Source organism: Homo sapiens, chromosome 13, assembly GCF_000001405.40.
Source record: "Homo sapiens chromosome 13, GRCh38.p14 Primary Assembly".
In the NCBI taxonomy this organism is placed as follows: Eukaryota; Metazoa; Chordata; class Mammalia; order Primates; family Hominidae; genus Homo; species Homo sapiens.
Genome location: NC_000013.11, coordinates 87,121,360 through 87,145,931, shown reverse-complemented (window position 1 = coordinate 87,145,931; position 24,572 = coordinate 87,121,360). Strand labels below are relative to the sequence as shown.

The window sequence follows — 24,572 nt, the reverse complement described above, 5'->3', positions numbered from 1 at the left end:
TCATCATCAGGTTGCACATTTTTCAAATTTTTATGTTCTGCTTTCTCTTGAATGCTTTGCCGCTTACAAATTTCTTCTGCCAGACACCCTAAATCATCTATCTCAAGTACAAAGTTCCACAGATCTCTAGGGCAGGGACAAAATGCTATCAGTCTCTTTGCTAAAACAGCAAAAAGTCACTTATGTTCCAATTCCCAAGAAGTTCCTCATCTCAATCTGAGACCACCTCAGCCTAAACTTCAATGTCCATATCACTATCAGCACTTTTGTCAAAGTCATTCAACAAGTATCTAGGAAACTTCATACTTTCCCACATCTTCCTGTCTCCTTCTGAGCCTTCCAAACTGTTCCAATCTCTGCCTGTTACCCAGTTCCAAAGTCATTTCCACATTTTTGGTATCTTTACAGCAGTCCCCCACTACCTTGGTACTAATTTACTGTATTAGTGTATTCTGACACAGCTATGAAGAAATAGCTGAGACTGGGTCATTTATCAAGGAGAGAGGTTTAATTGACTCACAGTTCCACATTGCTGGAGAGGCCTCAAGAAACGTACAATCATGGCAGAAGGGAAAGGAGAACCACGCACCTGCTTCACAGGGTGGCAGGATGAAGAAAGTGCAAGCAGGGGAAATGCCTGATGCTTCTAAAACCATCAGATCTTGAGAGACTCAACTCACTCGTTGTAATGAGAACAGCATGGGGAAAACCATTCCCCTAATTCAATTACCTCCACCTGGTCCTGCTCTTGACACATGGGAGTTATGGGAATTACAATTCAAGGTGAGATTTGGGTGAGGACACAGAGGCAAAGTGTATCACCTTGAGAGACCTTATCCTTTGAGAAGGGTGAAAGTCACCAAATCCTGATTATTCACTTAAATTCCAAACTCCATATTTTATATTTTATTGATAGGAAAAATTTGATGGAGGATATTGAGGAGCAAATGACTGATAGATAAAACTACCAGTAAAGCCAGGTGCAGTGGCTCAGGTCTGTAATCCCTGCACTTTGGAGGCTAAGGCAGGAGAATCACTTAAGCTCAGGAGTTTGAGACCAGCCTGGGCAACATAGTGATGTCCTGCCTCTACAAAAAAAAATAAAAAAGAAAATAGCTAGGCATGTTGGCATTCTCCTGTATTCCTAACTACTCAGGAGACAGGGAGATGTTTGAACCCAGGAGATTGAGGCTGCAGTGAGCTGTGATTGTACCCTGCACTCCATCCTGGGTGACAACAAACAAGTTCATAATTAGAAGACTGACATGAATTTGTTTAAAAATATTGTATATATATATGTGTGTGTGTGTGTGTGTGTGTGTGTGTCTGTGTGTGTGTCTGGGCCAGTGGGGCTTTTGTTAGAAATAGAATCATTTCCTAGGCTCTTAACTAAAGTATCTGGCTATCATATTGTATTGTTTCAATAATAAGGGGTTATAGAGCTTTAGGAACTTTTCTTTTTTAATCTGTAATGCAGAGCAACCCAAGGATGAATTTTACTCCCAAATGTCAGTGCATGACTTTTTTTTCACGAGTTGGTTTGGAGGATTTATTGGTTTATTTAATAAATATGTTTTGAGGTCCTATAAGTTTCAGTCACTAAGTATTGAATCATGAGCAAAGAGAGACACCAATGTGAAGAGAGGTCCTAAACAACGTGAGGTCGAATAAACATATGAGCATTAACATAAAAATTGCTGCTAAATTTCTTAATATTCACAAATGCAAGAAATATTTGGAGTACGGTTATATATACCAACAGTCTTCTAATCTAGACTTTCAGTCTAGGAGACCACTTGATATTTCCCTCCTTGTTATTTGACAATACTAACACCTGAGAATAATTTTCTTATTGCTATACATACATGTAAATATACATGAGAGAAAGTAGAGAAGGGGGTGAATATAAGTTGACTAGTTACTTACAAGCCAGGATGTGACTTAAGCTAATGGAGTAGACACCACAGAAAAAACAATTGCATGTAGAGAAACACACTTGCGTACACACACATACAAAATCAATTGTTGCTAAAGTATGAATTATGGAGGCGTTGATATTGTGGGCAAATACAAGATATATACACCATCTATATATCTATATCTATGTCTATCTATCTATCTATACACACACACAAATTTAAATTTTTGACACTTCTTTCTTGTATTCTTATGCACATAATTTCTGATATAATTATTGATATACTCAAAACTTACAAAATCAGGCTATTCGCTTCTTCATTTGTAATTGGCTAATAATTTATATATATATCACACTGTCGTGTGTATATTAGTAGAAATTTAAAAACAGTGCAAATGTCTAACAGAAGCAAAACATATAAATCAGTATATTTTATCATAATAGAGTATTGGCTAGTATTTAATTATTAAAAATAACACCTTCAAAATCATATGGAAAAAAGAAATATGAAGTTTTTTATGTCATTTTATTTAATTTTTCTTATGAAACTACATTTTATTGATGGAGATTGAGATAATGTTACAAAGCAGTTACAAAACTTGAAAAGCATTGTAAAAAATTGATGAAAGAGCTGATTTTTTTCTTTTAATCTTTATCATGTTATGTACTTTTAAAACCCGTGTACCATATATATACTTATTTTATAATCAGAAAGTATATTAAATGAACATAATACCCATATATAATTAACTCAGTATGTATTGAATAATAAATGTGTTTCTGGAGCTTTATTTAAAACTAATTATGATGATATGTTATTCTACAAAGTTGCACAAATAATACACTTCAATAATTATTTTAAGTACTACATCAGGGTTAATGTAAAAAGAAGACAGTTTAAACAATCCTGATGGGAAATTGAGAACTGTGCATTTTAGCAAGTGAAATGTTAATGGTATTTGCAGAAAGAATAGGGTTTTACTAGGCATAAACTTATTAGAAAAATAATTTGCATATAGGAGACAAATTACATGAAACATGAAAGAGTCATGAACATAACTTAGGGAAAGACAACTTCTTCAGTAAATGGTGCTGGGAAAACTGAAAATCTATATGCAGAAGTATAAAACCACACATATTTCACCTTTTGGATACCTCTATTAAAACTCACTCTGTTTACATAATAAGTTATTAACAGATGTCACTTCCTTGGTAGACTAATTACTTTGAGAGGTAGATTTACTTTAATTCTTTATTTTGACCCTTGAGATTGTATTCTAGTAGCTGCAGACAATGTTAAACTTTACGTGAAGCATATGATCCTGCAAAATAGTAATACCACAGTCTCTTGGTGTTCTGGAAACAGGTTACTATAAACAATCACGCCTTCTCATTGATTTAGGCAAGACTCACAGAATTCTCCACCCCTTGTTTAGATTGTGAAATATATCTCGCTATATACTAAAAAGTTCTGTGTAGCAAAGGAAACAGAAGAATGAAGAGACAACCCATTGAATGGAAGAAAATATTTGCAAACTAATTATCCAACAAAGGACTAATATCCAAAATATATAAGTAACTCAACAACTCAGGAGCAGAAAACAAATAACCTCACTAAAAAGTGGATAAATTATCTGAGTAGACACTTTTCGTTTTTTAAATTTTTTAAATTTTACTTTAAGTTCCGGGATAGAAGTGCAGAACGTGTAGGTTTTTTACATTAGTATACGTGTGCCATGGTGGTTTGCTGCACCTGTCAACCTACCACCTAGGTTTTAAGCCCCGCATGCATTAACTTTTTGTCCTTATGCTCTCTCTCCCCTTGCCCCCCATCCTCTGACTGGCCCCAGCGTGTGTTGTTTCCCTCCCTGCGTCCATGTGTTCTCATTTTCCAACTCCCACTTATGAATGAGGACATGCAGTGTTTGGTTTTCTGTTTCTGTGTTAGTTTGCTGAGGATGATGTCTTCCAACTTCATCCATGTCCCTGCAAAGGACATGATCTCATTCCTTTTTACGGCTGCACAGTATTCCATGATGTATATGTACCACATTTTCTTTATACAGTCTATCACTGATGCACATTTGGGTTCATTCCATGTCTTTGCTATTGTAAATAGTGCTGCAATAAACATGCATCTGCATATGTCTTTATAGTAGAATGATCTATATTCTTTTGAGTATAGATCCAGTAATGGGTTTGCTGGGTCAAATGGTATTTCTGGTTCTAGACCCTTGAGGAATCACCACACTGTACTTCCACAATGGTTGAACTAATTTACATTCCTACCAACAGTGTAAAAACATTTCTATTTTTCCACAGCCTTGCCAGCATCTATTGTATTTTGACTATTTAATAATTGCCATTCTGACTGGCATGAGATGGCAACTCATTGTGGTTTTGATTTTCATTTATCTATTGATCAGTGATGTTGAGAATTTTTTCTATGTTTGTTGGCCACATAAATGTCTGCTTTTGAGGACTGTCTGTTCATATTTTTTGCCCACTTTTTGATGGGGGTGTTTTTTTTTCCTGTAAATTAGTTTAAATTCCTTTTAGATTCAGGATATCAGACCTTTATCAGATGGGCGGATTGTAAAAATTTTCTCCCATTCTTTAGGTTGCCTGCTCACTCTGATGATCATTTCTTTTGATATGCAGAAGCTGTTTAGTTTAATTATATCCAATTAGTCTATTTGGGTTTTGTTGCAATTGCTTTTGGCATTTTTGTCATGAATTTTGGGCCCATGCCTATGTCCTGAATGGTATTGCCTAGGTTTTCTTCTATGGTTTTCATCATTTGGGGTTTAACATTCATGAAGACATACAAATGGCTAACAAATATATGAAAAAAATATTCAACATCACTAATCACCCAGGAAATATAAATCAAAACCATAATGAGATATTACCTTACCCCAGCTGGAATGGCTGTCAGCAAAATTTTTTTTAAAAAATGAGTAATTCTGGAGAGGACATGGGGGAAAGCAATCTCTTTTATACTGTTGGTGGGAATTTAAATTCATGCAGCCATTACGAAGAACTTGGAGGTTTCTCAAAAGAGTAAAAGTCGAACAACCACATGATCCAGCAATCCAATTACTGGGTATTTATACAAGGGAAAAGAAATCAATATTAGCTACTCTCCCATATCTATTGCAGTGCTATTCACAATAATGAAAGATAGAGAATCAACCTAAGTCTCCATCAAAAAAATGTATAATGCAAACAAATACAACAGAATATTCCTCAGCCATAAAAAATAATATGATCCTGTTAGTTTGCTGCAACACGAATGGAACTGGAGGTCATTATGTTAAGTAAAATAAGCCAGGGACAGAAAGATAAATATCACATGTTCCCTTTCATGTGTCGTAGCTAATAATGTGGACCTCATGGAGATGATGATAGAATGATAGTTACAGAGGCTGAGAAAGTGTGGGGTTGGGGGATGAAGAGAGGTGCTTAATGAGTGCAAACATGCAGTTAGATAGCGGGAAAAAATCAATTGTGTGACTATGGATAACAACAATATATTTCAAAACAACAGAAGAAGATAAAATTTGAAATATCCCAACAGAAAGAAATGATTAGTGTTTGAGGTGATGGATATTTAAAACAATCTGATTTGAACATTATACATTGTATAACTGTATCAAAATATCATATGCACTTCATAAATATGTACAAATATTATGTATTCATAAAGATAACTGAAGTTAAAAATTAAACTATGAAAAATAATGAATGGCCAGAAGGTACGATAAGCAGCAAATACATAAAATTATTTTCTAATAAGAAGTAGCAGGTAAAAGCAGAAAGGAAACAGAGGATGTAGTGGGTGATTTCTCTGTATCCTCAGCCAAGAAATTTTCACTTCTTTTCTATAAATTACACAGAACTAATTACAATTGTTCCACAGCTTATGACATGAAACTATTTCTATTTTTCAAATGTGAATATGATAGCAAAAATAAATGTAAAATGGAAGACATACAAGGAGAAGGGAGAATAAGTTAGAGTCCCACTCTGTTCTCATAGCCAGAACTAAGACAACAGAAATGAATTAGAAAGAGAAAAACATTTGCAGTAATAGTGAAATAGAGGTACAGGTTAAATATAAGAGTAAGGAAAATTAAAGGTCACTATACATTTATTGTTTGGATGCTGATGATGGCATGTTTATGCAAACAGAAGATATAGAAAATTTTAAGGGGTAGTGGTAAATAATAAGTTGATTTTAATTCATCAATATATCAACACATTTATTAGTCATTAGGAAATAAAAAATAAACTCCATACCTAAGTAAGAAGAACCTTTATTCAAAATGACTCTTGCAATAGGGAGAATGGTCTAACCAAGAAACCTCTCCAAGTGTCTCTAAAGTTAGACAAAAGGGTTTTTTAAAATTATTATTATTATTTTATTTTGTTTTATGGAGAGAAGTAAACAGGCTAGAAGGAACCATAAGTGGTGAAGTAGAATGTAAGGATGCAATGAGTGTTTTATTCTGAGAACAACCTATTTCAGGATGGGCTTTTAAGGAGGGGCTGTATTTTGGTTTAGGTTGAGGTGGGTAAAGTGGCCTGGGGAAAAGAGAGAAAATTAACCTAAGTTTGACTAACAAGATTTTTCTCTGACTGATTAGTGGAGACAAGTGCCAGGACTGATCCACAGACCCTGGCCAAACGACGGATGAAAAATGTATGCAGACACAGGTTTTTTTGCCTAGCTGCATGGCTAGGAGACTGGGCCACTCACAGACATCGAAGAGGATGCCGTAAAGAGTCACAGTGGCTGCAGCCCTGACATGCCAGCACTGCAGGCATTTATTTAGTACAGGTTTAATGACAGAGGCTTTGAGTCAACACACTTGTGGGTAATTAAAATGTTCCCCCCACAACCTCCTCCCCTCAGAGAGCAGTCCTACATGCAGATGATTAAAGGTCAGGTTCCCAGGCCTAAGTAAACTAACTTACCTAGATCAATTCCTTTACACTTGCTTGTTATCTACCTTTTGTTCTCAGGCTCCAGATAAGAGAATTTTGTTGCCTTCAGCCAAATTATCTTTGGAAGCTTTTGCAAAACCTCCCAGCCTTCCAAGAAAGTTTGCGTCTTTCTCTATAACTTTTAAAATTTTTCCCACTACCCTGACTGAACTCCTACAGACAAGTAGTTCAGCTAATCATTTATGAGATAAATAATGGAAATTTGGAGGTTCTGTGTCTAGCTTTGTTAGAGGTCAATAAGGTGTCAGTGAGTTTTACCTAAATCTTGTTAAGAAGGATGATTGTTTGCCATAACCTCTTTCCAGAACACAAAGGTATTGGGCTATTAATATTCTGCAGAATAGGCTGCACATAAAGTTTAACATTGTTTGCAGTTACTATGATGCAATCTCTGGGGCCAAAATAAAGAAAGTGAATCTACCTTCCAAAATAGTCTACCTGGGAAGTGAGATTTGTTAATAACTCCCATTATTTAAGGGAAAAGTGTAAGTTATAACGGAGGTAGCAAAAAGGGAAAATATGAGTATGTAAAGAAATATGCATAGTTTACATTTGCAATGATGTAGAAAGATTGTCTAAAGATTTGTCTTTAGAGTGGAACCATTAAAAATGTGCAGCTCATAATCTAGGCAACTGGAAAAAGACCTTCAAGGCAATGTAAATACCCTGTGCTTGGGTGAAAGTTAGGGCTAACTTTAATATGCTAAGATGATAAGGTGAATATAGAGATAACTAAACAACACAGTTAAGAAACATAGACAAGGAGCAGATAAAAAAGGTCTTTACAAAAGATTTGGGTATGTTTCCACAAGCAGTGGACAATAATTTAGATTGTCCATTCACTTGAAAATCCCCCCAGTCGACTCACATTTGCAACATATAAACTTGGTTAGAATTTCACTCATCTTTTCTTTGCTCTGCCTTCTGAAAAAGGAGATATTTTTGCTGTATATAATACAGAAATGTAACTTGGGAAAACAATTTTGCAGGCCTAGGTAACATAAGTCAAATATAGTATTTTCCCTTGATTTCTCTTGATCCCAAATTTCAAGATAAATATTTAGATGCTTCTCATAATTTTCTGTAAAAAGTGTTTCCCTGAACAAGGTTATAGCCACTAGAAGAAGCTCATAAATTTTTGTTCTATATTCTCCAACGATAGTACTTCTAAGAAGAAAAATTACACTTCTAAGGAGGAAAATTGATCAGGCATCAAGAAAATGTCATAATACTAATAAATCTCAGCGCCAAAATAAAAATTTGTTTGCCTATGTACTTTGCCTATAGCTAAGATGAACATTTCAGCAATTTTTGACTCTGTTTTTTGGGCATTTTATTTCACCAACAAAGATTTTAGATGACTTTCCTTAAAAATTCTATTTACCCACCCCACAATTATTGTTCTTGCTGTTATTTGTAGTAACTCGAACAGTCTTCCACCTTCTTCTATTAATCCTTCTGCTTCATTTAAATCTTTTATTCTATAATCCTTCTTGTTGAAAGAAATTATTTTCCTTCTTAGTAATGATGTTTACGGGCTATAGCAATGGTTCTTAGACTTTAATGTAAGACTCTGTTAGAGAACAGAATTAAATGCAAATGCTTATAAATATACACAAAGATTCTGAATCAATAAATTAGTTGTTTTAGGCCAAAGAATGTCTGTTTAACAAGCATTGAAGATAATCCAAATATGGTGATTCTCATAGATAATTATTTTATGATGGGAAAAATATGCTGAAAATCAGCTAGTTCAGAAATTTACGTATTAGAATTTGAGGTTGAAAACTAGTCAGGTAACAGATGCTGATATTGCTTATTTCTTTTTGTATATTTTGCCTATAGTAATCACATACAGGGTGCTATGTTTTAGGGAATAATTTGAGTAATCTTTTTCTTCTAACTAAATACTATTACAATACCATCAGATTGTCAGTATGTCTATGACTAAATTGTTATTGCTATGGTTGATCATTTGTTCACTGCCAGAACCCAGGAAACTGACATGTGGGAGTCAAGGGCCCATATGAAATGACATTGGATCATGCAAGGAAGATATCCTTTGTTGAAATGACATTATTATTGTCATTAGGCACTCTACATTTAGCAACATGGCATCAAATCCATTTGTCAAAGTCAATATATGTAAGACAAATATTAATAGCTTGTGTGTTTTTTATTATTGTCGATCTCTAGGTTTGTTTTTCTTTTACTGTTTTTTAAATCACCAGTGGCTACCACAGTGAGTATCACCGAATAGGTATTCTGTAAGTATTTGTGACTAAAACAGTAAATAAATTATTAAGTGGCATACTTCATTTACTGAGTTGAATTAGAATAAACATCTAAAGTGAAATGACATTAAAAATACTTTTTATTGTTGATGACAGGTGGGAATACTCACCACGATACTAACAAGAAGAGCTTCATTTTTTTCTGTTTGTGTGGGGTTTAATAGTGTTTCCTAAAATTTTTTTTTTCCCTGGAAATCTTTGAATGTGATCTTATGTGGAAATAAGGTTTTTGCAGATGTAATCAAGTTAGGATGACACTCTACTTGGTTAGGGTGGGCCCTAAATCCAGTATGACTGGCATCCTTAGAGAAATTTGGACATACACACATTGGCACACACACATACACAGAGAGATTGAGGAGGGAATGTGAAAATGAAGGTATATTGGAGAGATGAAACTACAAACCAAGGAGCACCAAGCATTACTGGAAGCCACCAGAAGCTAGGAGAGAAGAACAAAACAAATTATTCCCTCAAATCTCAGAGAGTATAGCTTGTGTCAATAGCTTGATTTAGGATTTCTGGCTTCCACAAGCATGAGAGAATACGTTTTTTGTTGTTTGAAGTCACCCTATTGATTTTTTTGTTATAGCAGTATTAGGAAACTAATATGATGACCAACCATCTTAGAAAAGTAAACATAAAGCAATGATTACATTTTTAATTCAATTTTCTGTGTATGTTATTAAGTAAATTTGCACCTTAAAATAATATTTCTGTATGCTATTCTTTTAATCTTCATCTCTACTTCTTAAAAATCTTTGTCATATAAAATATCCTCACATATTGTATTATGCCTGAATAGGTATACCTCATATAAATACTGTTTTAGCATCATATAGAAAATATTTTATTTATAATTTGAGAAATAATATCTGCCATGTGTACATAGAACACTGAGTTCTACTCTTAGAACCTTACATTTGAAAAAAAAATACCAATGAATAAATATGAACTAGCTATAGTCTTAAGAGGGAAGAAGTTGATCGATCCTAAGTTTTGTAAAAATATCAGACCATCACCAATGAGAGACTGGTATAGAAAACAGATCATTAACAACCTCAACAAATGGCTTAATCTTCTTTATGCCTATATGCCATTTCTTCACAGTTTTAATTGTAAGAATGTTGAAATTGCTCACTAGAAAATAAAGCCACAGTTCAATAGAGTTCAAAAGAGAAAAGTTCATGATTTATAGTTGGTATGAGATTAGACTAAGCATTTGTCTAAAATGGTTCTTGCAGTGCACACTAGGTGCCAATGGCAGTACACTTTATATTAATTTTAACTATTTGTTCAAAGCCAGTTATTTTGAACCTCTTGATGCTAGAGCCCCTTTGTGGGATTTGCAATAGCATACAATAACTCACGATGCATTGTATCCACATGGCTTTCTACTTAAGGATTAATTGCTAACATTTTGCCTTGTCCATATGTACATTATGCTCTAAACATAAGGATATTTTATAATTAAGGAAAATTGCCAGTACCCTGGCCAGCAGAATAAATGCAAACTTGTGTTAGCAATACTATAAGCCCTGTGTTTGCGTAGGAAATTACAAGTGTCCTAAAACTCAATGTCAAGTTTTATTCATACAGTAATGATTCTTCAGAGCTAATGCTTATTCAAGGAGAGCCTAACAGTGTGAGTGTAACGGGCAATAAGATTATAGCTTTGTCACTTCAAGGAACCTTTCCGTATATGTGATAAAAATATTATTCAATTACTTTTGAAATAAAGTAGCTAATAATTCAAAGTTTCTGATTTATTATGCTTGCTAGCTAGTCTTTTCTTCCCAGATATCTGAGAAAAGAGGGAATTAAAGCAGGAAAAATGCAAAAGCAAGAATGATATTAGCTAAGTTATATTTCCCTCAAAATTATTTCTTTAAAAATTATTAATTTTTATCGACGTATCATTTGTACATAGTGCCACAAACAGATCTTAAATATAAAAATCTATGTAAGGGTTTAAAAAGTCATATATTCACGTATCCCACACTCTTAACAAAATAAAGTAGCTTTGAACATTTATATATCTCTGTGCCTCTGTGTGTGCATCTGATTCAATTTATCTTGGGAAATAATTACACATAGAATTTCTGATTCATAGGGTTGTGTAAATTTATGTGACAAAGAATGTCAGAGTAATATTTAAAGTATTTGTACAATTTTACACTCTTATTAGCAATTAATGATATTTCTATATCCTCTACATTCTTACAATAATTTTTTGTCATTTTGCTTTTTTTAACAAATTTTAACCATTATGGTCACTGTAGAGTGGCATATCATTGTGGCTTAAATTGGTATTTCCTTAATGACTAATGATAAATCACTTTTTGATGTACATGGAGTAAATTCGTTATTGTCTCATAGTAATATGTGACATGAAATATGTGACATGACCCATCTTTTTTGCATATCACAGATCTTTATTATGAGCAGTATATTATTGAGCCTTGCTTTTTAGAAAACAAATACAATCCAAAATTTGTTTTTTTAATTGTGGTGTACTATTAAATTACATTTAACATAGTTATTGATATGATTATATTTAAGTCTAATTTTGTTGTTTTCTATTTGTCTATTCTGTCCTTGGTGACTTTTCTCTCTTCCTCCTCTGTTTTTGATACATTGATTATTTTTTGTATTTTATATTTCCCCTACTCGTTAGATATTTATTTAGGTTTTAAATTTTCCATAGTTTCTCTAATGTTTACAGTTAGCATCTTTAATTTATCGGTCTACCTTAAAATCATATTTTACCTTGTCATATTTGTTGTAAGAATTTTAAAATTTTATCTTATCTCTCACCCTTTGTGCTAGTATCATTGTACCCTTTACTTTTACATATGTTATAAACTCTGCAATACACTGCCATAATGTTTGATTTACATATTTCATTATCTTCAAATAAATTAAGAAACTGGACACAGTATATATATATTTTACATATTTTCCAATTTTTTTGTCTATATTTTTCATATATTTTCCAATGTTTTGAATTTTTCTATAGGCCCAAATTTGTGTAGAATACATTTTCTGTCACCTGAATGACTTTTTTAAGAAAATTTTTTTATTATAGCAAAAGCAGATAACATGAGATCTATCAGCTTAACAAGTTTTCTAGTGCACACTGTAACAATAGCATTGTTAACTATAAGCATAGTATTGCACAAAGGTCTCTGGAACTCATTAATCTTGCAGTACTGAAACTTCACACTCATTGAAAAATAACTCCCCATATTCGTCTGTCTCCAGTCCCTAAAAACCACCATTTGTCTTTAGACTTCTATGAGTTGGACTATTTTAGATACATTGTATGAGTGGAATCATGCAGTATTGGTCCTTCTGTGACTGGCTTGATTTACTTAGCATAATGTTCCCAAGATTCATCCATGCTGTCACATACAGCAGGATTTCATGTTTTTATGCCTAAATAATATTCCGTTGTATATATACACATTTTTATTATCCGTTTTTTTCTGCTTAGACATTTGGGTTGAGCTCACATCAGGCTATGGTGATAACAGTGCAGTGAACATGGAAGTGCAGAAACCTTTTTGCGATCCGGATTTTAATTATTTTGGATAAATACATAGATGTGTTACTGCTGGGCCAAGCGCAGTGGCTCACACCTGTAATCCCAGTACTTTGGAGGCCAAGGTGGGCGGATCTCGAGGTCAAGAGTTCGATACCAGCCTGGCCAACATGGTGAAACCCTGTCTCTACGAAAACTACAAAACTTAGCCGGGCATGGTGGCTGGCACCTGTTGTCCCAACTACTTGGGAGGCTGAGGCAGGAGAATTGCTTGAATTGGAAAGGTGGAGGTTGCAGTGAGCTGAGATCATGCCACTGCATTCCAACCTGGGCGACAGAGTGAGACTCTATCTCAAAAAAAAAAAAAAAAAAAAGTAGGTACATTGGTTGTGCATATTAACCCTCGCTGTTTATATAAATCAAGTTTATTCTCCAAATAATTCTTTTCTAATTATAATAAAAGATAACTATACAGATTTTAATTTTGGGAAGAGCATATTGAAGGCAGCATTAGAGATGTAGAGAAGACAGATGGCATTAATAATAAACAGAAAATGTACCAGGCATGTAATTATTTCCAGGTGCCTGGTATATTATTTAATCCTCATAGTAGCTGAAGTAGGTATTATTATTGTCTCTGTATTTTACAGAGACATAAATAATACAATTATTGCTCTGTATTTCATAACTTGAGGTATGCAAATGCATTAGGTCCCAGAAGACAGAAACCATGTCTTTATTTTTCAGAGGTGTATTTCTATCATCTGGCATGGGATCTGTGTATCCAATTAATGGTTTTTGAATGACCGAAGTTCACAAAATGCATTCCTTGAACTTTTTATTGTGTTAGACATTAAGACAAATGTTTCCTCTAGAAAAAAGATTACTGTTTTCAAGTGAGGAAATTGAGGACTAGAGAATTTGAATTTTACTATTAATCGCACAATTAGTAAGTGACACAGTCAGAACTAAAATGAAGTTTGGCATGACTCCAATTTTGTAGCCATTGTCACCGTGGGAAATATTAGCATATGTAGCTTTAGCTTGTAAATGATCAGACAGAGATTAGAAATTGTCTTATATGCACAATTTATGTAGCTGTTAAGGAAGAAACAGAAAAATGTTTTAAAATATTTACAAAATATTTTCTAGAAACACAAATTTAAGAGCTGAATACTTTACTCTGAGGTGTCTGAATTAAAATAAAATTCTACACGAAGCATAGCAGGACGAGTGCACCAAAAGAAATTCTAGGACTAAATGTCACCTTCCTTTTATAAATTCCCCAACCCATTTATGTCACCACTCTACTTTCTGTTGTCTTTCACATCAGCTTTGAAAAACAGCAGCTGAGACACTTCAGAATGAGAGGAATGTGCCTCAAACATACAGATGCAGTTTTTTCTCTTTTAGGCCATACCTTCTGCCTGAAAATGACAAGTTGGCTTCATTTAAATATTTAGTGTTTCCTTTTTCTATTTATACCTAGAAACTTTTCATTCATGAACATTCTTCAGAATGCAGATTCTAAAAGTTGAAAGCCTATGTGGCATGTATAGTTTGCATTATCTTTCTGATATATGAATATATTTACTTGAAAAGGGTTTTAAAAAATAATTCGATATTAGTTACTGACTTATTAATTTTATAACCATAAAATTATTCAACGGAGATGCCCCAAAATTTATACATAGTTCACCTATAGATTTAATAGCATATTCAAATCTTGAAATCTTGACTATTATAAAAATAAAGACTGTCATGATTATTCACTAATTTATTTATTACCAATTTTTTTTACATATTAAGGTCAGTAGAAAAATGATTACAACTCAGATTACTTTCATTTTTTCTTATATATTATATATGACAGAAATATATATATATATACATATACACGATAGAAATATACACATACATATATATGTATGTATGTGTGTACATATGAGATAGATAGATACACAAATCTAACTGGTAATTCTAATAAAACTGCTTGTGTAAACTCTATTTCTTTAAAGAGTGAATGAAAGAAGTCTTGCCCATGCTAATCATACCTCTTACTTTGCGTAAGATGCTTTTTGTAAAGGTGAATGATAATCTTTCAAACTGTTTACTATATTTCCCATCACAAACATGTATTTGTATAAAAAGTAATACAGGCTCATGTTATAAGATTAAATATTAAAGAACTACACAGTGGAGAAAATAAATGTCTTTTACCTCAAAATTGAAAATCATTAACTATCAGTGATTCTGCATATATTTTTTATTTTTCTTTTCATTACACATATGCCATTGCCTAATATTCTTAATATTTTAATTTGAGATTCTCAGAAACTCACTGTTCTTTGATAATCCACTATACCTATCAATCATTGCACATGTTTTCCATTTACTTTAACCAACAACACTAAATTAACCTGAAACTCACTAGATAGAATATTAACATGATATAAGGGAGTTAGTTGTACAGGGTGGAGGAGATATCTATAATACAAAGACAACATTGCAGGCCCTGTAGAAAAATTTACATGATAATAAGCATGCAAGGTATTTGTAGTGTCTCTATTTATGTGCCCTGGTAATTGAAATCCAGAATAATTGGTAACTAGCCAAACTCTTTCCATTGTGTCAAATATGTATGAACTCTTTCATGTAGCCTGCTGGAAGGTGCAATAGTATATGGAAATTGAGTACTTGGAACAATGTATTCATGTTTAGAGAGAAGGTAGCAATAAGTCAAGTGAGGTTTTCATGTCGGAATAATTTTAGATTTAGAGAAACTTGATAAACCTCTGCAATAATTTAATAACCACTTATTCATCACCTACAATGTATGACTTTTTTTCACTAATTTTGTCATAAAATAAGAAAAACAAAATGTTTGCAATCACAAATATTGTTGGACCATAAAGAAGGCTGATACACAATTATTAAAATATATACCTGTGATGGTTAATTTTATGTGTCAACTTGGAAGATGTTTTTGGATGAGGTTAACATTTTATTTGTGAAACTCAAGTCAGAGTCAGCAGATTTCCCTGCATGATATCACTGGGCCTTATGCAATCAATTGAAGGCCTGAACACAACTAAAATACCACCCTCCCAAGCTAGGAATTCTCCAGCAAATTGCTGTTAGACTTTATCTGCACTTTTAGATTGTCCTGTGTCTCTGCCTGCCTGCCTTTGGACTGGGAGTGTGCCACCTGGTCTCCTGGGTATTGAGCATGCCAGCCCACACTGCAGATTTTAGATTTGCAGCCTCCATAATCAAATGAGCCAATTCCTATAACAAGTCTCTCCTCTCTCTCGATATCCTGTTGTTTCTGTTTCTCTGGAGCACTCTGACTAATACAATAACAAATACAGAGTTAGAGATGTAGATATGTAAGAGAGTCCAAGAGAATGACACCTGATGAATGAGTCATCAGATGTAGACATGTAAGAGAATCAGTGAAGTGACACCTGATGTGGATTAAATAATGATAGAAATTCAACCAGCTAGGGTAGGGAGGAAGAATATTTTGGGAAGAAAGAGAGAAAGCGAAGACCAAATGAAGCTCTGTATAATGGCAAATTTGTATTTTCCAACATAATAAATAAATGAATGAGTATTGCAGAAAACAACGTTTGTCTGAAAACTATACAAAATCTACTGTACAGGTTCCTAACGTGTCAGCTAAGGGACAAAAAAGATGAGTTTACTAATATTGGCAGGATGCAAATCACTGGGCCAGATCCAAGTCACTGAGAGACCTCTATGTCTTGTTAGAGAAGCTATTTTTTTTTTTTGTTAATCTTAGAACTGATGGCTAGTATTTCGTGCCTATCTTCTCATTTCAAGGATATCTTCTCATGATCATGTATCTCTCATGGTACCAGACTGGAGAAGGACAAAGGAATTACAATGCAAGAAATGCTGGTGGTCTGAATGAGTGAAGGATATTGCAGGGGAAAGGATGGAGGCAAAGATAAATGACAAACCCTAACTTGTGAAATAAGGTATATGGTAATGACATTACCGAAATAAAGGATTCTGTACCAGACACTTTAATTGGAAGAATTAAAATATCCCAGACAGAAATGACAACAAGAAGTTGGATGTAAGAGTAAATGACTAAGACCTGGACTGTTTATGCAAAAAAAAAAAAAAAAAAAAAAAAAAAAATATATATATATATATATGTAAATATGAGAGTCTAAAGCATTTCTATGGTTATTACATTGTCTATGAAATTTTTGGTACAACAATGGGGAAAAAAACAAGTTGAAGACAACAGCTTCTAAGTAAGCTAGGGAATGATTGGAGTCTAATATGTTCAGTGATCAAGCACACAAGCATGTCAGACATTTTTGGAAGAAAACAGCCTTCATTTTCCTGCTTTGTCCTGATTGATCAGTCAACATGTCTATTTTCAGAAAGCCAGGGGTAATAACTAACATCAAGGCCCTGTTCAGGGAGAGGACCATGCCATTGTGTGTGGAGTCCTGGTTAAGAAAATGGCTGTAAGTAGATTTTCACTGGGACCATCTAACATAATTTTTGTGACGTGATTGTTAGGACTTTAATTACGACAAGGGATGCCTGGAGGTTGGAGCAATTGGGTTAAATAAAGGTGAATATACATAAATCTTAAAACCACTTCAGGTCAGATGAATATGGAATGAATATAAAGATATACAATTGTTTATTTTAGTAGCTCTTTACTTATTTCTATAAAAATTATTTAGATCCAAACATACCCTTTACTATATCCAAGGAAAACATAAGGATGTGATTGTAAGAAAAGGGGGCCACACAGAAACAACCTAATTTAAATCTTTCAGTTACCCATGTTTGACTATGTTCTGCTCTGCATACCAAATGCCTCTTGGCTTTAGTGTTAAAGCTAGGCTAAAGGATTGCTTTGGCAGCCCATCATTGTCTTTGTGTAATCAGGCACTTAGCAACCCTGACACTGGATGCTGGCATCCTTTGTTTGGAAACAGCAGTTGATTTCACAATGAACTAGTTGATTGCTAATTTAGTGCACTAATGTGAAGAAGCAGGGGGCCCCCATACTGCACCTTAATCCAGATGTCAGTTTACTACCAAGATAATATGTTGTTTAAAGATTTTCACTCACACTTGGTTCTATACAGATTTTTTTTTTTAGTGTGCATTTCTAGGCTCTGGCTCTTTTCTTACTTTTCTCAATAGCAATAATGAATGGTCATTATTGCATTTACAGAGCTTCCCTTAAGTTATACAAAGTTTAGAAAAATGAGCATATTTCTTATTAATGGCAATTAATGAAATTAATACTAGTAATTAACAATTCTCTTATAACAAGACTTAAAGAGCCATATATTCTAAAAAGTTTATCATTTAAAAATATCAAATATCTGTTTTTGATTAACATTTGGTAATTTGTCAAAATATAGCATACATATTCAGCAAAATTTCATATATTAAGAAGTATTTTCATTACAGCAATATTTAAAATTGTTATATAAGATATTTATTATGATAACAGCTACATATTCTTTTTCACAGATCAGTGAAAACTAAGTGTAATTTTTTTTTTTTTTTTTGAGACGGAGTTTTGCTCTTGTTGCCCAGGCTGGAGTGCAGTGGCGCGATCTCAGCTCACCGTATTCTCTGCCCCCCAGGTTCAAGCGATTCCCCTGCCTCAGCCTCCCGAGTAGTTGGGATTACAGGCATGATCCACGATGGCCGGCTAATATGGTATTTTTAGTAGAGACGGGGTTTCTCCATGTTGGTCAGGCTGGTCTCCAACTCCCGACCTCAGGTGGTCCACCCGCCTCGGCCTTCCAAAGTGCTGAGGTTACAGGCATGAGCCACAGCGCCCAGCCATGTAATCTTAAATAAACTTTCTAAAAAACAAATATTAAAGATAATACAGTCCCTGAATATATTATGTATAAGTAAGTCATGAAGTTGTAATCATTACTTGACAGATTTTTAAGAAAATAATATGTTTTAACCCTAAAGATACAACATGGATCCGAGTGCCAAATGATATGTTTAAAATAAGTACACAATTAAAAGATTTTGAATTAGTATTTAAAAATAAAATGCATAAATAATAAATAACATGTAACAAATAAAGAAATTTTAGAAGTAAGAACACTGACATTACCTTTTACGACTATATATTCAAACTCTATATTTCAAACCGCTTTTGATGTATCCCCTGGAATATCTTTGTAGATGATAGCAATGCTTTTATTAGCTTCACTAATTTCTTCTCTTAAAATTTGCTGCCTGAATTCCAACATAAGGTGATGATGGTGATGATGTTTGTGGCCACATGTAATCTCTAATTAAATGCATTTATTATTTACATAGACCATCTACTGGATTGCAAATGTGTGTTAAAAGCAATACATACTTCACATGGAACTTCCATCACTAAAGTCACAGTATACTACTCTATTAAAATTATGTACAATGTTTAAAACACAACTTAAATGGTCTTACCTTTATGTCCCCAAAGTATTTGGGTTTTTTTTTTTTTTTGGTTGCTGTTTTTGTTTTTTAAAAGGCTACCCTTTTATTTTTATTTTTATCATTATATTTTTCAACACTTATTTTGGATTCAGAGAGTATATGTGCAAGTTTGTTACATGGGCATATTATACTGCTGACGTTTGGAGTACAAATGATCCCATCACCCAGGTAGTGAGCATACTACCCAATAGATAGCTTTTCAGTCCAAGAACCCCTCTCTTCCTCCCCACTCTAGGAGTCCCCAGTGACTTTTTTTCTCATTTGTATGTCCCTCGGTGTATTAGTCCATTCTTACGCTGCTGATAAAGACATACCCAAGACTGGATAAATTATACAGGAAAGATTTTAATTGGACTTACACTTCCACGTGGCTGGAGAGGCCTCACAATCACGGCAGAAGGCGAAAGGCACATCTTACAACACAGTAGGCAAGAGAGAGAATGAGAACCAAGTGAAACGGGTTTCCTCTTATCAAACCGTTAGATCTCGTGAGACTTATTCACTACCACGAGAATAGTATGGCAGAATGTGCCCCCATGATTCAATGATCTCCCACTGGGTCCCTCCCATAACACATGGGAATTACAGAAGTACAATTCAAGATGCGATTTGAGTGGAGACACAGAACAAAACCATATCAATGAGGAACAAAATCATATCAATGAGTAACCAATGTTTAACTCCCACTTATAAGTGAGAACATGCCGTGCTTGGTTTGCCGTATCTGTGTTAATTCACTTAGGATAATGGCCTCTGGCTGCGTCCATGTTGCTACAAATAACATGATTTTGTTCTTTATTATGGTTGCATAGTAATCCATGGTGTATATGTACCACATTTTCTTCATCCAATCCACCATTGATGTACACCTAGCTTAATTCCATTTATTTTATAATATCTGAAACATGTGTTTAGGTTTCTGAGTTTTCATTATGAATGTGAATGGCAGTGTTTTCTTTTAAATCTCCAAAACTATATTTCACATTGTAACTGCTCAGAATATATTTTTGAATATGTAAAGACACTTGCTATTTATTCCCATCCATTTTCAGTTTTTCTTATTCTTTTTAATCCTTGGAATTTTTTTGGTAATCTATTTGTCTTTGAAATATAGTCCTTACTACAAATCAAAATAGAAGTCACACATTCAATTGCAACTGAGCCCCATGTCATTTTGCAATTCTTTTTGATTTTGGGGTATTACACTCTTAATATTGCATGTGTTTCCATATAATCCGAAATTGGTGGAAGCCTAATAATACAAATATATTTTTCCTTCTATCACAACTCTATTTAATACTTAAGTCCCTAAATTTTGTTTAAATATGTATTAATCATAATGCAACTCACTGATTTCTTTTTCCTTCAGTTAAAAAAATTATTTCAAGAAATCTCTTTACTGTGTTTGCTAAGCTCACAACATGTCATATATAAATGTTTACAGTATGATATTGCTTAAATTGAAACATCAGATCAGCTAATTACAGTAATTTTGAATATGAAAACAGTATAGATAGCCAAGCTGGACACAGTTAAACAGATTAAATAAATAATAAAAATGATTCATTTAAAATAAGAGAATTTATTTAAAATGAAATGAATATACTTCAACACATACTGTGAGGGTTAATTTTATATAAACATTGAAGGTGCTCTTGGATAAGATTAACATTTACAGAGGTAAATTTTGGGTAAAACAGATTACTCTCCAAAATGTTGGTGGCCCTCATCAGTTGAAGGCCTCACTAGAACAAAATGTCAGCCTCCCGGAGCAATAAAGAATTCTCCAGTCGGCTACCTGCAGGCTTCCTCACGCTATTTGCTCTCGCTGGTCTCTGCTTACTGGTCTTCAGGCTGGAACTGCACATTGCACTCCTTATCTCTTAAGCCTGCTGACCCACGCTACAGATTTTGACTCGCCATCCTCCGTATCATGTGAGCCATTTCCTTATTTTACACATACACAGACACACACCCACACATACCCACATGCATGTATCCTATTGGTCTGTTTCTCTGGATATTTCAGACTAATAGAGACCCCTTATTCATTTTGCTACCCAGTTTAAATTAATATTGAAATTCTTAGTAAATTTATTTAGTGGTTTTGCAGTCATTTAGGTGGGCAGGTATGAAACTCATCTCTGCCCTGCATATACAATTTCAATATACTTATAATGAATAAGAGCATTGGCAAAAGCTTTTATTTATAAAGATTGCCACATTTAAGTTCTTGGATCACAGCCGATTTCTGAGCAATGAGGCGATGCACATTGTAACAGAGCTGCTGGGGAAGAAACCCACAGAAGACAGATGACAGCAGGATGACAGCTGCGATATGGTGAGGTGAGGAGGGAAAACCACCAGCACGCAGCAGGCAGGAGAAACGCAGCAAGTGCTCAGTGAGGCACAGCTTCCCACCACATGACACAGCAATGGAATGTGGAGAAACAGCAGTGGACAAAGTGTCTTAGGCAACAGTAATTATAAATGGTGACTCATGTGGTTACAGTAAAGGCATCAGTTACCCCATGGGGAGAAGAGACCTGACACCGTATAAAAACATCAGCTCTCAGCAAATGAAGTTTTGACGTTTATGAGGTGTGTAAAGAAAATCAGTTGTCCTTGAAGCACATTTATACAAAGGAACCAACATAAGTGTTTTTTTTGTTTGTTTGTTTGTTTGTTTTAGTGAAGGTCAATGTAGCAGAAACAAATATCTGTTACTTAGGTGGAACAAGCATTTTTAGTAATAGTTTTTATATAAACAAAATTAGGAGATATTCATTTTGCAAATGTAATAGTGGGAAAAATTACTTAAACAAAAAATTCTACTTTAATCACATGAGCTCTACAAGATACTTAATGTTATTACATTCTTAAATAATTTTCAACCATTTCTCCCATTTTTCCTGGCTTATTTGACTTAAATGCTAATATATATATATGAATATATATGAACTCTATGTTATTGACTTAAATGTTCATATAAACTAATGTATTATAAATGTTTGTATAAAATAATTTACTATTATTAATTCTTTTAGTCTCTTAGAGACATGAGACTTGCTAAGTGACAAGGATATTTCAGATTGAAAATATCCTAAAAGCATATTCTTTTTAGCTCACTTAGTTTAGTCCAATAAAAGGTTCAAGAGTATTTTCCCAACACCATTTGCTGGTAAAAACATGGTTTAGGTCTGTTTGTGACAATCCCAATTTAGAAAATTTAAAATAAAATGTAATTGAAATTTATTTTCTGTGTTTTGTTTAACAGGAAACATTGAGATTCCAAAGTTTAGTATATTTTCTCACATTCTTAAACTTGCCATAGGTTACACTGAAAAAAGTACCATAGTTTTGCACGCTCTCTAACTCTTCTTTTTCTTCCCAGCATACCATTACCCATTTTCCTCCTTATTCCAAACTCATATACAATTTGTTTGCTCAAAACATGTTTGTGTACTTAACAATAATTAAAACATGAGAAATTGAAGGCTAAAGGGTAAGTAAAATTATGGCTTTAATCCATGTTGGATTTATAACATTGTGGAGAAAATGTAGATATAAATGACTTTAACAACAGGAACATGTTATGGTACGAAGACTTTTGTTAAGAGTTGTAAAAAATACATAAACAGCATTTCTATTTGAGATTCTTAGTAAAGGATATATAAAAAAATTATCAGTTGCCTCAAGACATAAGAATGGGTAGAATCTTGACAGGAAATGAATCCAATGGGTATTTGCCTCTATCCATCTTACATATGAGAAAATATTAATTTGACAAAAACTGTCTTGATGATTGTTTTACATTTTGGAAATATACTTTTAGAAAATTCCTGGTGTAGAAGTTGAAATAATGAGAGCATGCAGTCAGCAGGATATACAGTCATTCACTGTGGTGGAAGAAAAGGAAGCTTGTGGGTTTGAACCTGACTAGGGGTGAATGCTATGTGTAAATAGTAACTTTGTGTATTATTTATTTGCCTATTACTATATCACATTTAACTTATTTATAAACTTTCTTCCTTTATTTGCCATCTTTTTTCCCTATTTCTAATGTGAGATATAATTGATTTAACTGATAACTCCTACTTTAAAATTAAAGGTTCTCCATCTGCCAACATTTTTATATAGAACAAAATATACATAAATATAGTTATTTGTCAGAAATTAACTATATATAATATTTTGTAGTTCCAGTAATATATGCTTTCCAAACATATTAAGTATAACAAAAATTACGTTTAAAAAATAAGGTTGATCAGTAGAAAAAATAAGTATGTTGTGCTCTCTTACCTCGCAAGATCCCAGACAACCTCTTTCATTTGTAATGGATTGCTGATTTATCCACTTCTCCTTATAACTGGATAGATTAGCATGAATCAATTTGTGATAAACAAAATGAAATGGAATCTTGCTGTTTCAAGTAAGGCCAGTAAGAAGGTAGTAGCATCCTGCTGTCAAAGGGAATATACTTTTTTTGTGTCTTCAAAGAGTCATGAGTATCTAGGAGCCCAGTTTGGCAGTGACAAAAGAGCCATATTGCCATATTCTTCACTTGGCTTTTGGAGAAAATTACATGATTTTGAGTGATACTGGGGGAAAGAAAAGTATATCAGTCACTTCTCTGGCCTCTTGGTATTTTCTTTTTCAGACCTCGTAAAAATTATGGTGTGTGTGTGTGTGTGTGTGTGTGTGTGTGTGTGTGTGTGTCCTAATAAAATGTTACAGCATCGTGGCCAAATACTGGGTACTCTGCTTATACTTTGTAAATATATATATTTAATATCTCTGTTTCAGGTAGATTTGCCCTCAATGTGCTTAAAGAAAGTGGTAATTTTTTATTTAGTTTTCTTTAAGAATAGTAAATTGAGTTTTTATCTTATCTAAACAGTAAATTTTCATGAAATTTCTCCCTGAGATAATTTGCAAAGGATGATATAGGAGAATCTAACCAACTAACCCTATATTTAATGATCATAGTTTAGTGATATATAATTAAACATTAAAATTGTTCGAAAACATACAAGATGTCTTAGAATAAAAACTTGAATCTGTTAGTCTGAAAAACTCTAATTAAATTAATATTGTGTATTATACTGCCATTATACATGTACAATTTGAACTGTTAACATAGTTCTACTTGAGTAAAGTAAAAATTATGAATATGTTTATAAAACATCCCAAAATACGTTCATATATTGAATGTAAATTTTATTTTAGATATAAAAATTATATATTAATTGTAATAGTCTTTAATATTATCCGAAGGCGGAAATATATT

General features: G+C 33.5%; 3 annotated features.

Moving 5' to 3' along the window:
* Positions 13,860 to 14,411: an enhancer, noted in NCBI's record as "NANOG hESC enhancer chr13:87783776-87784327 (GRCh37/hg19 assembly coordinates)". NCBI's record gives its function as "activates a minimal SCP1, AML or CMV promoter by ChIP-STARR-seq in naive H9 embryonic stem cells {active_cell/tissue: H9 hESC(naive)}" and the evidence as "EXISTENCE:reporter gene assay evidence [ECO:0000049][PMID:30033119]".
* Positions 17,384 to 18,067: an enhancer, noted in NCBI's record as "OCT4-NANOG hESC enhancer chr13:87780120-87780803 (GRCh37/hg19 assembly coordinates)". NCBI's record gives its function as "activates a minimal SCP1, AML or CMV promoter by ChIP-STARR-seq in naive and primed H9 embryonic stem cells {active_cell/tissue: H9 hESC(naive and primed)}" and the evidence as "EXISTENCE:reporter gene assay evidence [ECO:0000049][PMID:30033119]".
* Positions 21,492 to 22,079: an enhancer, noted in NCBI's record as "OCT4-NANOG hESC enhancer chr13:87776108-87776695 (GRCh37/hg19 assembly coordinates)". NCBI's record gives its function as "activates a minimal SCP1, AML or CMV promoter by ChIP-STARR-seq in naive H9 embryonic stem cells {active_cell/tissue: H9 hESC(naive)}" and the evidence as "EXISTENCE:reporter gene assay evidence [ECO:0000049][PMID:30033119]".